Source organism: Homo sapiens, chromosome 11, assembly GCF_000001405.40.
Source record: "Homo sapiens chromosome 11, GRCh38.p14 Primary Assembly".
NCBI lineage: Eukaryota > Metazoa > Chordata > Mammalia > Primates > Hominidae > Homo > Homo sapiens.
The window spans coordinates 94,685,650-94,702,459 of record NC_000011.10 but is presented as its reverse complement, the minus strand read 5'-3'; the positions used below and the strand labels follow the sequence as shown (position 1 = coordinate 94,702,459).

The window sequence follows — 16,810 nt, the reverse complement described above, 5'->3', positions numbered from 1 at the left end:
TAGAATCATCTTGTCAATTTTGACCAAAAGGAATAGTAGAATTATGATTATCATTTTATTGAATCTTTAGATCAATTTGGTAATTATAGCCATCTTAAGAAAACTGAGTTTTTCAATCCATTAACATGATTATCTCCCCATTGATTTATATCTTCAATTTTATTCAGCAATATTTTGTTGTTTTAGTATAGAGGTTTTGCATGTCTTTCGCTAAATTTATTCCCAGATATTTTGCTTTTGACACTAATATAAAATTATTTTTTAAATTTAACTGTCCAATTCTTTGCTGCTAATACATAAAAATGCAATTGACCTTTGTATATTAATCTGATATCCTATGACTTTGCTAAATTCACTTAATAGGTAAGTAGTTGCTATGTAAATACAATAGGAATTTCTGTAAGAATACTCATGTCATCTAACATAGAGATAGTTTTACATTTACTTTTTCCATTCTGAATTCTGAATTCCATTCTGTATGCGTTTTGGAATTTTTTTTTTTTTTTTTTTTTTTGAGACAGAGTCTCGCTCTGTCACCAGGCTGGAGTGCAGTGGCGCAATCTCAGCTCACCGCAACTTTTGCCTTTCGGTTTCAAGTGGTTCTCCTGCCTCAGCCTCCCGAGTAGCTGGGACTACAGGCACACGCCACCATGTCCAGCTAATTTTTGTACTGTTAGTAGAGACAGGGTTTCACCATGTTGGCCAGGGTGGTCTCAATCTCTTGACTTCATGACCCGCCCACATCGGCCCCCCAAAGCACTGGGATTACAGGCGTGAGCCACCGCGCCCAGCAGGTTTTAATTTTTTAAATATGCTTAAGTCCTCCTGTCCATTGTTAAACAAAGTGGTGAGATTGGGCGTTCTTGACTTGCTCCCAACTTTAGGGAAACAGTGTTCAATATTTTGCAATTAAGTATGATGTTAGCTGAAGGCCTTTTGTAAGTGCTCTTTATCAAAATAAGGAGGTTACCTTCTATTTCAAATATCCTGTGTTTTAATTATAAATAGGCATTGAATTTATTAAATGTTTTTCTGCATTTACTGAAGTGACTATGTGATTTTCCTTCATTATTCTTTAGCGTTAATAGCATACATTTCTGAATGTTAAACCCCCCTCTCATTTATGATGTTGGTAACTTGTGTTCTCTCTGCTTATTTCTTGATCAATCTACCTAAGGATTTGTCAACTTTGTTAACTTTTCCAAGATATACCATCCAGCTGTGTTAATTTTTTTCTGCTTTTCTTCTTGTACTGACTTTGGGTTTATTTTGCTTTTCTTTTTCTAGATTCTTAAGGTAAAGTCTTGGGTCCTTGGCTTTAGACGTTCTTCTTTTCTAACATATTATTTGATTTAAAGCTAAAATTTCCCCCAAGCACTGCTTTAGCTGCATTCCACAATTTTGAAATGTATTTTATTATCTTTCAGTTCAAAATATTTCCTAGCTTTCCTTGTGATTTATTTTTAATCCATGGATTATTTAGAAGTATGTTGTTTAACTTAGGATTTTTCTTAATGTCTTACTCATCTCTAATTTAATTCCATGTGGCCAGAGGACATACTCTGTATGACGTCAGTTCTTTTAAGTTTATGGCCCAGATCATGATCTATCTTGATGAACATATCATGTGTACTTAAAAGAATATGTATCCTGCACTTGTTGGGTGCCATATTCTATAAATATCAATTAAATCAAAGTGATTTATACTTGTATTAGCTATCTAGGGCTGCCATATAATTGCCACAAACTGAGTGACTTAATCAACAGAAATTTATTGTCTCACTATTCTACATGCTAGAAGTCTGAAATTGTTAGGGAAGCAGGAGCCTGGGAGAGCCAAAGTAATGCCATTTTAAAATAAACTCCGTCTTAAAACTAGCAAGACACATTCCTTGTCAGTCATGACCCATGGTCCCAAGATGTTTACAGCTAAGGAAGCAGCTTGGTAATGCCTGCAAGGACAAACTCCTACAACAACAAAAGGTCCAGATGTCCCAATACCCATAAAAATATATGCTTACAGATAATTATAGTTATGCTTTGGTGTACTTAACACACTAAAATTTCAAGGATAGTTTTCTTTAAATCAACAGAATAATAAATTTTGTCATGCTGTCAGCCCACCTACATGTAGGCATCACTTAGTTTAGTCTTTACATAGAGAAAACCCCTATATAACTTTTTAAAAAGTTAAAGAAAAACTTAAAATGAAGATGGTAAGATGGTGCATTCCTCTGCTTGCTTTCTGAGGACACCCTACTCAGTAACTGAGTAGCTTTCAATAAACCACCTCTTTTCACTGCACTCTGCAACTTGCCCTGAATTCCTTCCTTCCTGAGATCCAAGAACCCTTTCTTGGATTCTGGAATCCCTTTTCTGGCAACAAAATCAGGTATCAACATAGCCATGCCCCTCTGAGATTTTGGGTAAAGTCCTTCCTTACCCTTCTTAGCTTCTGGTTATGGCTGGCAATCCTTGGCATTCTTTAGCTTGCAGCTTCATCACTCCAATCTCTGACTTCATCTTCACATGGCTTTCTCCCAGTGTGTCTTCACAGTATCTTCCCTTCCACATCATCTTCCTTCCCACAGGCTGTGCCTGTGTCCAAATTTCCTCTTTTTATAAGAATTAATTATGGTCCCACTCTAATACCTCATTTTAACTTTGTTACCTCTGTAAAGCCACTTCAAATAATGTCACACCCTGAAGGACTGGAGGGTTAAGACTTCAATATATCTTCTTAGGACGACGTAATTTAACCCACAATAATAGTGTTGCTCAGATCTGTGTCATCACAGCACTTTTGTTCGATTGTTCTATCAGTTGCTGAGAGTAGGATGTTAAATTCTCCAACTGTGATTGTGGCATTTTCTATTTTTCCTTTTAATTCTGTGAAGTTTTGATTCATTTATTTTGAACCTCTGTTTTTGGATACATACACATTTATTTTTGTTATTTCTTCCTGATGTATTGACCTTTTTATCATTATGAAATGTCCCTCTATTTTTGTTAATACACTCTATTTTAAAGTCTACTTTGTCTGATATTAATATTGCCAATCAGTGTTTTTTTTTTTTTTTTTTTTTTTGAGGTGGAGTCTCCTCTGTTGCCCAGGCTGGAGTGTGCAGTGGTGCAATCTTAGCTCACTGCAACCTCCACCTCCCAGGTTCAAGCAATTCTCCTGCCTCAGCCTCCTGAGTAGCTGGGATCACAGGCGCCCACCACCATGCTTGGCTAAGCCAATCAGCTTTCTTATACTTACTATACATGCAATATTATTTTTTCATCCATTTGTTTTCAAACAATTGGTGGTTTTATGTTCAAAATGGATTTCTTGCAGACAGCATATAATTGAGTTGGTGTGTTTTTTAAAAATTTCATTTTAATAATATTTTATTTTCATTTGGTATGTTTAATTAATTATCACTTAATGTGATTACCGACATGGTTGGATTGAGGTCCAAGATATGGTTGGACTTAAATCCAACTTTACTATTTGTTTTCTGCTTGCTTCTTTGGCTTTTTGTCTCTCTGTTTTTCCCTGTGGGCTTCTTTTGGATTAAGTATATTTTAAAATTCCATTTTAATTATCTATGAGATTTTAAGGTATACTTCTTTGCATTACATCTTTAGTGGTTGCTTTTAAGGATTAAATATATATATATGTATATATATTTTCTATTTTTCATAGTTTACTGGGAGTTAATATTGTATACTTCACATAAATATGTAGAAATCTTGCAACCAATTTGGTTCATTGACTGCCCCCTCCTCATCCTTTATGTTATCCTTATCATATGTACTTCTTTACATGTGCTATAAACTACACAATACAATGTCATATTTGTTCTTGAACTAATCATATTTTAAGTTAATTAAGCAGAATAATAATACTTTACAGTTACACATATTTACCATCGAATGTATTTTACTCTTTCCTGAGTAATCGAGTCTCTATTGGGTTTTGTTTTACTTTACCCTGCATTCCATGACATGCAAGTGAAAAATTTTTCTAAAGCTGTCTTATTTAATCTTTATTCATCAAGGACATTTTCACTGGATATAAAATTTTGATTGATAGGCTATTTTTCTTTCAGCACTTTAAAGATGTTGATCCACTGCCTTCTGGGCTCCATTGTTTCTGATGAGGTATCAGTGGATAAGAAATAATTGTTAGTGGATTTTGAAATGATTCAGGCAATGTCATTTTCTCTGACTGTTTTCATTATTTTCTTTTTGTGATTTATTTGCAGCACTTTGACTATGATATGCCTAGGTGTTTTTATTTTTGTTTTGTTTTTGATACTAATCTTTCTTGATGTTTCTTGAGGTTTTAGAATCTGCACATGTATGTCTTTTACCAAATGTGTGAACTTTTCACCCCTTATTTACTTAAATTAGTTTCTGGATCATTCTCTCTCCTCTCCTTTTGGAACTTCAATTATATGCATATTAGACCTTTTGGTATTGCTGCAAAGATCCCTAAGTTTTTGCACATTTATTAATATTAAATCTCTGTTTCTCAATCTGATCATTTGTGCTGATCTATCCAGATCATTTCTAATGATCTATCTTCTAGTCCATTGACTCTTTATTCTTTCATCTCCCTTGTGCTGTCAAGAGCATCCACTGAATTATTATTTTAGATATTGTCTTTTTTAGTTCTCGTATTCTCATTGGTTCTTTTTTATAGTTTCTATATCTCTGCTAAGATTTTCCATATTCTATATTTCTATATTCATTGTGAACACATTTTCTTTTATGTACTTGAGCATGGTTACAATGACTTTTTAAAAATTCTTGTCTGCTAATTCCAGCATGTAGGTCATCTTAGAGTTGATCCCTGTCAATTATTCTTTCTCCTTAAACAAGTCATGTTTTCCGTTTTGTTATATGTCGGATAATTTTGGAGCATATCCTTGTTATGATGAATGATATGTTGTAGAAAGCCTGAATTCTATCATGCTCTCCTAAGGAGTATTGACTTTTCTTTAATTAGGACTTTAATGTGGCTGAACACAAATGAAATGTAAGCCTTCTTCTCTGCCTTATATATTGCACACAGGGTCCTGTTCTTAGACTAAAAGCTATAAATCAGAAAACTCACCTCATAAAACTTACTCTTCTCCCAACTGTTATTTCTCCTCTAGTTTCTGCTTGCTTTTGTTCTCTCTCCAGTGTCTTCAACCAGTTGGTCTCATATTTTGTCCAGAGTTTATAGTTGTTATCTGTAAGAGATTTGGTTCAAAAGAGCTATATGGACATACCAAAATATCCAGTTACATTTTGAGTCACTTAGTTTATCTTCTACAAAATAATTTATAGCTTTTTGCTATGAATTACCTTGCATCTCACCCTTTTCCTAGTAATGCTGAATAAGATATGGAGCTTCTGCAGAAAAGGGTGACATAATCAATAAGTATTGCCTGCCTTGGGCACAGGACCAGATAGTTGCAATTTTTGTAATAGTTACTTACAAAACAATGTATAATACTCAGAAGTTTGTACCTATTAGAACATATCCTTGAAGTAAGAGTACAATATTTGCTTGTTTGATGGCTAATATTCCCCACTAAATGAAGGGATTGTGCTTGTGAAATTCACTCTTATATGCCCAGTGTCTCTCATGTGGAACATAGTAGTCACTCAATAAATAGTGAATGAGTGAGAGTAGTGTCTAACCAGGACCCATCCCAATTTAGTATAGTTTATCATCAGTGATCTATCCCAGAAAAAGTAGACAGCTTAGGAATACCTCATTCAGCCTAATTTTTGTTTTAGTTTCCCTTTTAAAAATTAAATAATCAACATAGATACATGGAGAATACAAATTAGCAAAAATAAATCAAGCCAACCCATTTTTTCCCTCTGAGACATACCATTGTTATCTTTTCCACATAGTGCCTTGTTATTCTTCAAATTTTCATTCTCAACCTCAGGTGTACATTAGAACTACGTGAGGAGCTTTGAAAAGTCCTCATGCTCATGCTACAACCCATACTAATTAAATCACATTCTCAGGGATTGGGACACAGACATTTGTGTTTTTTAAAGTTCCCAAGATGACACCGGTATGCATTCAAGAGGACCTAAAGATGTAATAGCCAGGATAGCAGAGCTTTTTCAGATGTCAGTTTCTATCTCCTGCATGGCACAGATCCTGTCCTCCAAGAGAGTTCAGACAGGACAGTACTTGAAGCAATTAAACATGAAACAATTAGAAACAAAAGGACAGCAAATATACAAAATTAGGTGCCAATGTGTGGAAGCTGTGAGCTGAGCCTCTGAGGGCAGACACCTTTGAGTGCAATCAGAGGTGGGCTCATCTTGGTGGAGCCCCACCTGCCACACTGAGGGACTCTTTTCTTTCTTAGAGGTTTCTAGCAGCAGGTTGGAGAAAGGGGTACAGTGACACATTAGAATGACAGGTGGCACTGATTCTATTCCTGTCTTCTTTGAACATTTCTTCTTTATAAAATCCCAAGATCCCAGGTTCCTGGCCTCTGATCTTTGTTTGTGGGAATGCTGTTTTAATTCCTTACCTGATTTCAGAATTTGAGACCACCTTCAACCAGAGAAGCCTCTGTGGAAATGTGCCGTCACTGGCCAGTTGTTCTGTCTGTCTGCTGTGGAACCCAGGTGAGTTAAGTATAAATATCTGGCCGGGCACGGTGGTTCATGCCTGTAATCCCAGCACTTTGGGAGGCCGAGGAGGGCGGATCACGAGGTCAGGAGATCGAGACCATCCTGGCTAACACGGAGAAACCCCATCTCTACTAAAAAATACAAAAAATTAGCCAGGAGTGGTGGTGGGCGCCTGTAGTCACAGCTACTTGGGAGGCTGAGGCAGGAGAATGGTGTGAACCCAGGAGGCGGAGCTTGCAGTGAGCCGAGATTACGCCACTGCACTCTAGCCTGGGCCACAGAGCAAGACTCTGTCTCAAAAAATAAATAAATAAATAAAAATTAAAAAAAAAAATCTATGGCCACCCTACTTCTCCAGCTTGCCCAAGAGAGTTGGACAACAACAAAGCATACAGTGTGATTCTTGACCTGAGCCACACAAAAGAATCTCTGTGAATATCGTGAAATAGCTATTCCAAGGACCCACCCCAGAATAATTAACTCAGAACCTCTGGGTGATGAGGTCCAAAAACTGGTATCTTTTTCCAGGCTCCTCAGGTGATTAGGATTTGATCCAAGGTGAGAAATATTGATGATGTGAATTGGTGGGCCATTCTCCTGGGTTGTGCATTTGAAATCCCCTTCCCTGCTACTCCTGGAGACAACATAGAGAAAAATGTCAGGCTTTATGTTAAATAGGCTAAGGTTTGAATCCCTGCTTTGCCGTTGACTAGCTGTATGACATTAGCTAAGTTGCTGACCATCTCTGACACTCCATTTAGTTAATGGTACAAGAGGCAAAATAATAGTACCTACTAATGAGGCTCAATGTGATGCCATATATAAGTCAACTGGCACGCAGTGTGTACCAATAAATATCTGCTCCCTTCTGTCTCTGCACTCCTCACCTCCTCCCCCTGACCTCAGCATTGTAATAAGAGCTATGGACAATTCCGGCTTGTTTCTGAGCTGTTTCTCCTTGACTGACCATGACCACATCAGCCTGGATTTGCATCCCTGGTCCCTGGATCTGGCATCCTGATTCCAGCTTCTAAACTTGATCCAGCTTTTCTTTCCGGGCCCAGTTTCCATCACCTGTTTCTGTTGCTCAGCACTAAGCCACAAAGAAATGGTTTCTAAAAGTAGCTGGGCCCCGTGCTGCTGCTGCTCCAGCTGAGTTTTAGCAGCAGGAGGGGGTGTGGCTAATTTTAGACTTGTCCTGGACTAGCATCTGAGACAAGGCAAGGCCAGGCAAGTCCAACCTGCCTCCTCAGTACCTTTGGGTTGGAGTTTGGAGAGAAAGTTTGGGGAGATTTTGTTATAGGGCTTGTGTGTCTGTATCACACCAGGCTCCTTATATGGAAATTTAATATATGCAACCATTTGCCTCAACATCTGTTGGGATTTGAGTCTCAGGTGCTGTACTGAATGGGAGTAACCACAATGTAACCTGGAGTTTTTGATATGCTAATGCTTGTACTGAGCTAGGATAGATTGTTTTCTGCCTAACCCAGGGACAGGAATAGGCAGGTGTGAGCAGGATCTGAGATTCAGCAGGAAAAGGGCTGATAAGAGAAAAGATAGAAAATGTTATTGACTTATTTATGTTTAGAGAAATTAAAAAGGAAATCAGATGGAGCAGTGCAGAGACAGAAAGCCTCACTAGGAGAAGCAAGGACAGCATCGTAGCTCCTAGGACAGACCTGGCCCAGAGGAGGTTTGATGATTGTTGCACAAGTGTGGAATGAAGGGCTTCTAAGGTGGGGAAGAAGAGATGCTTTGGGGCTGCCCAGTGAGCATCTTGGTTGCTTTGGAAGGAAGGGCAATCATCTTAGAGCCAGCTGGGCTGCCCATGGGACCTAAAGCATCAGAAGAGATTTGTGTCCTCTAGGTCAAAGTAAACTAGCTCTTGCATGGTCAGGCCCACAGAATGAGGATAGCTAACAACAAAGAAGGGTTGAGCACTCCTAGGATTAAGAGATAAACAAGACAAAGAGAAAGAGTGAGAAGAGTAGAGGGTTTGCAGTGAGTCAAATTAGTTTCTTCATTCCACCACTTAAAGTTGTGTGATCTTATGTCAATTACCCAACTCTCTGAGCCACGGTCCCCCATACATTTATAGTGTTCACCAATATATATGAATTCAACATTTCAAGATTCATCAACAATTTATTGAGAGTCTACTATATGCTACAGGCCATTTGGCCAATGGAATGAACAATGCATCTAACAATCTGGTAGGAAATGCAGACAAGAGAAAAGGGCATGAATAAGTGACAACATATGGGTGGGTGCTGCTTAGTGCCATGAAGGAAGTAAGCAGGATAAAACGAGACAGGTAATTTGGCTGGAGAAAGCCTCTGTGAGTAGGTGTCATTGAACTGAGCCCCAAATGTGAGAAGGAGCCGACTCTGTGGAAGAACACTGCAGGCAGAGGGACAAGAAAGTGCAAAAGCCCAAAACACAAAAGAACTTGACAGTTCTGAAGAATAGAAAGGGAGTCAATGTGGATGGAGGGGAGTGAGTCAAGAAGAGATCTCTCTGAGACAAGGTGAGGGTGATCATACTGGGCCCAAAGAAGGAGTCTGGGTTTTGCAAAGGGAGAACAGTTCCCGTTTCTTGGAGAGAGAGGACAGGATGGACAGGAGCTGCTCCTATGGAGGTGCTTATGTGGTGCTTCTATGGAATAGATGCCACTGGGACATGGGATCCTTAGAATGGAGCCCAGATGTCAGCAGGGGGCAAAAAGGTTTGAACCCCTGTAAGAGAAAAGACATTCTAAATCTAGTCTAGGACAGAACCTTTTTAGTTGATGTAGTTCAAACTCTACTTCTGAGAAGAAGTGAGCTTTCCTGATAAAACACTTAATCAATTTTCTAATTAAGTTTAATGAGATTAAGATTTGTTCTGGGAATCTAATCATCCACCCACCCACCTGCTCTGTCAGTCAATTGTCTCAGTGTTTAGGCAATTGTTTACGGGAAAAAAAAAATCATTTCTTTTTGCATCTTAGCTTAATAATAATCCATCATTCTCTTGTCCTATAAAATGTCCCTGACAAAATTGAATCTTTGAATTGGGCTTCTAGTGGCCTTTTCACTTGCAGTAAGACTATAATGAAACTTTGACATGTGCTTTGAAATTGATTTTCTGAAATGTTTTCTATAACACCATTTGGTCAATGGCTAGTGGACATGTGAGGACTTCCTCAAGTTTTCTTAGTCCATGGGCCCATTGTCCTCTGAGCTCCTGCTTGTGCACGTGCTCTCTCTAGCTGCAACATATGGCCCTAGCCATGGGAGTTCCACTAAAATCCAGCCCCCAGATCCTTGCTCTTTGGCAAGGAGTGAGAGTAGGGCTATTATGTGTTGACTTGTGCCCCCTACAAAAAGAAGTGTTGGAATCCTAAGTCTCAGCACCTCAGAATATGACTTTATGTAGAAATAGGGTCTTTACAGAGGCAGACAAGTTAAAAGGAGGTGACTAGGGTGGGCCCTAATCCAATAAGACTAGTGTCCTTGTCAAAAGGGGAAATGTGGAGGCAGACATGCACACAGGGAGAATACCATGGAAGATGCAGGCAGAGATCAGAGGGATGCTTCTAGAACACAGAGAGTGTGTGATTTCCAGCAAACCACCAGAAGTGAGGGGAAGAGATTCTTTCTCACAGTCCTCAGAAGGAACCAGCCCTGATGACACCTTGGTCTGACACCTTGGCCTTTGACTTCTAACCTCCAGAACCAAGAGATAATAAATTTCTTTTTTTAGTTTTATTTTTCATTGATACATAATAATTGTGTATATATATATGGGGCAAAACGTGATGTTTTGATCTATGTTTGGTATGAAATAATTAAAGCAGGCTAATTCTATTCCTCACATACTTATCATTTTTTTGTGGTGAAAATATTTAAAATCTACTCTTTCAGCAGTTTTGAAATCCACAATATATTATTATTTATTATAGTCAGCATTCCATGCAATTGATTACTAAAGCTTATTCCTTATGTCTAACTGAAACTTTCTACGCTTTGATCAACATTTCCCCTTTTCCCAACCACCCTTCTCCCCCAGCCTCTGGTAACCATCATTCTACTCTCCCCTTAGATGAATTCAGTATTTTTAGATTCCACATATAAGTGATATCATGTAGTATTTGTCTTTCTGTGCCTGGCTTATTTCACTTAGCATAATGTTTTCCAGGTTCACCCATGTTGTTGCAAATAATAGGATTTCTCCCTTTTTTAAGGCTGAATAATATTCCATATTCATTGTGTGTATGTACTTACATTTTCTTTATCCATTCACCTGATGATAGACATCTAGGTTGCTTCCATATCCTAGCTATTATAAATAATGCTGCAATGTACATGAGAGTTCAGATATTTCTTCAGCACACTGATTTCAATTTCTTTGGATATATACCCAGAAGTGAGATTGCTGGATCATATGGCAATTCTATGTTTGGTTTTCTGAGGAACTTCCATACTGTTTTTCCATAATGGTTGTATTAGTTTACATTCCCACTAACAATGCCAAGGTTTCCTTTGGCCAATGTGGTATATATAATATCCTCACCAACACTTGTTATCTTTTGTCTTTTTCATTAATAGCCATTCTAACAGGTGCAAGGTGATATCTCATTGTGGTTTTAATTTGCATTTCTCCGATGATTAATTATAATGAGAATTTTTTCATGTATGTGTTAACCATTGGTATATCTTCTTTCAAAAGAGTCTGTTTAGCTTCTTTGCTTATTTTTGATTGAATTATTTGCCTTCTTGATATTGAGTTGCTTGAGTTCCTTATATATTTTGAATATTAGCATCTTATCTGATGTATGGTTTACAAATATTTTCTCCTAATCCGTGGGTTGTCTCTTCACTCCATCAGTTGTATCCTTTGTTGTGCCAAATCTTTTTAGTTTGATGCAATCTCATTTGTCTATTTTTTCTTTTGCTGCCTGTAGTTTTGGGGTCATATTCAAGAAATCTTTGCCCAGACCAATGTCGTGGAGCATTTCCCCGATGTTTTCTTTTGGTAGTTTTATAGTGTCAGGTATTATGTCTAAATACTTAATACATTTCAAGTTGATTTTTAATACAGTGTGAAAAAAGTTTCAATTTTATTCTGCGGTGGACGTCCTGTTTCCCAACACCATTTATTGAAGAAATTGTTATTTCTCCATTGTGTATTCTTGGCAACTTTGATGAAAATCAATTAACCATAAATATGTGAGTTTATTTCTAGGCTTCCTATCCCATTCCATTGGTCAGTGATTCTGTTTTTAATGCCAGTGCCATTCGATTTTCATTACAATAGCTTTGGAATAGATTTTGTGACATGAGGTATTGTGATGCCTCCAGCTTTGTTTTGTTTTTTTGTTGTCGTTGTTGTTGTTGTTCAAGATTGCTTTGGCTATTCAAGGTCTTTTGCAATTCCATACAAATTTCAGTATTTTTTAAAATTTTTGTGAAGAATGACATTGGAATTTTAATAGGGAATGCCTTGTATCTGTAGATCACTTTGGGTAGTGTAGACATATTAACAATACTAACTATTCCAAACCATGAACAGACAAAACTTATTTGTGTTGTCCTCAAATTCTTTCATAAATATTTTATACTTCTCAACAAACAGATCTTTCAACTCCTTGGATAAATTTATTCCTATGTATTTTTTCAAGCTATTGTGAATGAAATTGATTTCTTAATTTTTTTATAGATAATTTTATTGTTAAAGTAAAGAAACACTACTGATTTTTTGTGTTAATTTTGTGCCCTACAACTTTATGAAATTAGTTTATCAGTTCTAACAATGTTTTGGTGGAGCCTTTAGAATTTTCTCTATATATGATCATGTCATCCACAAACAAACAATTTCGCTTTTCTTTTTTAAATTTCTTTTTCTTGTCCAATTTTTCTGGCTAGAACTTCCAGTACTATGTTGAATGGAAGTGGTGAGAGTGAGCACCCTTGTTTTGTTCCTGATCTTACAGGGAAAGCTTTCAACTTTTTTTTTTTTTTGAGATGGAGTTTTGCTCTTGTTGCCCAGCCTGGAATGCAATGGTGTGATCTTAGCTCACCGCAACCTCCACCTCCTGGCTTCAAGCAATCATCCTGCCTCAGCCTCCCAGGTAGCTGGGATTATGGGCATGAGCCACCACGCCTGGCTAATTTTTGTATTTTTAGTAGAGACGGGGTTTCTCCATGTTGGTCAGGCTGGTCTCAAACTCCTGACCTCAGGTGATCCACCCACCTTGGCTTCCCAAAGTGCTGGGATTACAGGCATGAGCCACCGCACCCAGCCAAGCTTTCAACTTTTTATGATTGAGTACCATGTTAACTGTAGGTTTTTCATATATATCCTTTATTGTACTGAGATATATTCCTTCTATACCTAATTTGCTGAGAGTTTTTATCATCAAAAGATGTTGAATTTTGTTATATTCACTTTCTGCATTTCTCAAGATGATCATATGTTTTTGTCCTTCATTCTGTTAGTATAATGTATCACATTTATTGATTTGCATATGTTGAACTATTTTTGCATCCCAGGGATAAATCCCACTTGATTATAGTATACTAACCTTTTAATGTGCTGCTGAATTTGGTTTGCTAGTTTGAAGATTCTTGCATCTATGTTCATCGTAGACATTGGCCTGTAATTTTCTTTCCTTGTAGTGTCCTTGTCTGGCTTTGGTATCAGGGGAATACTGGCCTCAGATAATTAGTTGGGAAGTATTTTTTCTTCTATTTTTTGGAAGGATTGGTATTATTTCTTTAAATATTTGGTGGTAGAATTCTGCTGTGAAACCATCTGGTTCTGGGCTTTTGTTTGATGGGAGGTTTTTTTTAAATTATTGACTCAATCATCTCACTTGTTAATCTATTCCAATTTTCTATTTCTTCTTGATTTAGTATTGGTAGATTGTATGTTTTTAGGAATGTATCCATTTCTTCTAGGTTATCCAATTGGTTGGCATACAATTAATTGTTCATGGTAGTTTCTTATAATCATTTGTATTTTTGTGATATCAGTTGTAATGTCTCCTTTTTCAAGTTCTGATACTGAGTTTTCTCTCATTTTTTCTTAGTCTAGTTAAAGGTTTGTTGATTTTGTTTCACTTTTCAAAGAATCATCTCTTAGTTCCATCGATCTTTTCTATTGTCTTCTCTCAATTTCATTTATTTCTGCTCTGATTTTTATTATTTCTTTTCTTCTACTGATTTTAGGTTTAATTTTTTCTTTTTTTCTAGTTCCTTCAGGTGTAAGGAAGTAAGTTGTTTATTTGAGATCTTCCTTCTTTTTCAATGTAGGCATTTATTGCTGTAAACTTTCTTCTTAGAACTGCTTTTGCTGCCTCCCATGAGTTTTGATACATTGTGCTTCTATTTTCATTTGTCTCAAAATGCTTTTTATTTCTCTTTGAATTTCTTCTTTAACCCATTGGTTATTCAGGAGCATATTGCTTAATTCCTGTGTATTTGTGAGTTTTCTAAAAGTTCTTTTGTAACTGGTTTCTAGTTTCACTCAATTGTGGCTAGGTAATATACTTGATATGATTTTAATATTCTTAAATTTGCTAAGACTTGTTTTGCTCACTAACATATCATCTATTCTGGAGAATGTTCTGTGCTTGAGAAGAATGTGTATTTTGTTGCTCTGGGATAGAATATTTTATATACATATATGTTAGGTCTATTTGGTCTAAGGTGTTGTTCAGGTACTCTGTTTTCTTATTGATTTTCTGTGTTGATGACCTATACATTGTTGAAAGTGGATTATGGAAGTCTGCTACTATCATTGTGTTGCAGTCTATCTCACCCTTCAGATCTATGAATACTTCCTTCATGTATTTAGGTGTTTTGATGTTGGATGCATATATTTTTAAAATTGTTATATCCTCTTGATGTATTGACCTCTATCATAATATAAAGACCTTCTTTATCTCTTTATACGGTGTTTTACTTAAAGTCGACTTTTTCTAATATAAGCATAGCCACCCCTGCTCTATTTTAGATACCATTTGCCTGGAATATCTTTTTACAATCCTTACTCTCAGTCTTAGTATGTTTTTCAGGCTACAGTGGGTCTCTTCTAGGTATCATATTGTTGGATCTTGGTTTTTATTTTATCCATTCATCTACTCCATTTCTTTTTATTGGAGAATTTAATCCATTACATTTAAAGTAATTATTGATAGGTAAGGACTTCTGGTATTTTGTTAATATTTTACTGACTGTTATGTAGTTCTTTTGTTCTTCTCTTCCAATTTTGTCGTCCTTATTTGTAATTTCTTGTATTTTCTTGTAGTGGCATGCTTTGATTTCTTTATCTTTAGTGTGTCCATCAGAGGTTCTTTCTTTTCTTTCTTTCTTACTTTCTTTCTTTCTTTGTTTCTTTCTTTCTTCTTTCTTTCCTCTTTTTTGTTTTTTTGAGACAGAGTCTCACTCTGTCACCCAGGCTAGAGTGCAGTGGTGTGACCTTGGCTCACTGCAACCTCCACCTCCCAGGTTCAAGCAATTCTCATGCCTCAGCCACCCAAGTAGCTGGGATTACAGGCATGTACCACTATGCCCGGCTAATTTGGGAGTGAGGGAGGCTTGTTGTTGTTGTTGTTTGTGTTTTTTTGAGATGGAGTCTTGCTCTGTTGCTCAGGCTGAAGTGCAGTGGCACGATCTCGGCTCACTGCAACCTCCGCCTCCCAGGTTCAAGCCATTGTCCTGCTTCAGCCTCCCGAGTAACTGGGATTACAGGCGCCCGCCTCCATGTCTGGCTAATTTTTGTATTTTTAGTAGAGATTAGGGTTTCACCATGTTGGCCAGGCTAGTATCGAACTTCTGACCTCATTATCCGCCTGCCTTGGCCTCCCAAAGTGCTGGGATTATAGGCGTGAGCCACTGCGCCTGGCCTAATTTTTGTATTTTTAGTGGAGACAGGATTTCGCCATGTTGGCCAGGCTGGTCTTGAACTCCTGGCCTCTGGTGATCCACCCGCCTAGGCTTTCCAAAGTGCTGGGATTACAGGCATGAGCCAAGAGGTTTTTTTCTTCATTGTTGTCATGAGGATTATACAAAATATCTTATAATTATAATATCCTAATTTAAGCTGATAGTACCTTAGCTTCAATCACATGCAAAGACTCTAAACTTTTACTTCTCTCCCTTACATTTTATACTATTGATGCCATTTATCTCTATTTTATTGTGTATCTATTAATCAGAAGTTTATCACTGTTTTTCATGCATTTGTCTCTTTAACTCTTATCCTAGAGTTAAGAGGGATTTACACAATACCTTCACAGTATTGGAGTATTCTAAATTTTATATGTATTTACCTTTACTAGTGAGTTTTATGCTTTCATATATTTTCATATTGCTACCTATTCTTTTGCTTTAACTCAAAAAACTTTCTTTAGCATTTCTTGTAAGGGCGGACTCATGGTGATGAACTCCTTCCACTTTTGTTTGTCTTGGAATTTCTTTGTCTCTCCTTCACTTCTGAGGGATAGATTTGCTAGGTATAGCATTCTTGGTTGGCATTGTTTTTCTTTTAGCACTTTGAATATGTCATTCCACTCCCTCTGGCTTGCAAGGTTTCTGATGAAAAATCTGGATAGCTTTATGGTGGATATTTTATACGTAATGAATTTCTTCTCCTTTGCTACTTTCAAGATTATCTGTCTTTGACTTTTGACAATTTGATTATAATGTATCTCAGAGTGTTATTTTCTTAATTTATCTTGTTTGGGGTCCTTTGAGCTTACCGAGTCTGTATGTATATGTCCCTCCCAAGATTTTGAAGCTTTTCCAATAGGATTTCTTTTATTATCATTATTATTTAAATATTCTTTCATTATTTGTTTGTAATTTTTTGCTATGTTTCCTGTGCTGGTCTTGAACTCCTAGCCTCAAGCAATCTTCCCACCTGAGCATCCCAAATTCCTGGGATTACAGGTGTGAGCCGTCACACCTGGCCTCTCAGGCAGTATTTCTTTAAATAAGTTTTCCGTCCCTTTTCCTCACTCTTCTTCTTTGAGTAATCTCATAATTTGTATACTCAAATGTTTGATGGTGTTGGGTAGATCCCTTATGCTTTCTTCACTCTTTTTCAATGTTTTCCTTTTCTTTTTATTCCTCTAATGGGTTAATTCCAAGTGACCTGTACTTGAGTTCACTAATTC

The 16,810-nt window shown here is 37.0% G+C and overlaps 1 long non-coding RNA gene across 3 annotated transcripts in view; it reads left to right on the top strand.

Moving 5' to 3' along the window:
- PIWIL4-AS1 (PIWIL4 antisense RNA 1) overlaps positions 1-16,810 on the top strand; it is a 195,024-nt gene that overhangs the window by 37,896 nt on the left and 140,318 nt on the right. For 2 of the 3 annotated variants that reach the window (NR_135093.1, NR_135096.1), the window contains exon 2: positions 6,553-6,639. The exons of the other annotated variant lie outside the window; for it this stretch is intronic. This is a non-coding gene — a long non-coding RNA (PIWIL4 antisense RNA 1). The remainder of the gene's footprint in view (positions 1-6,552; positions 6,640-16,810) is intronic. 3 annotated transcript variants of the gene reach the window in all.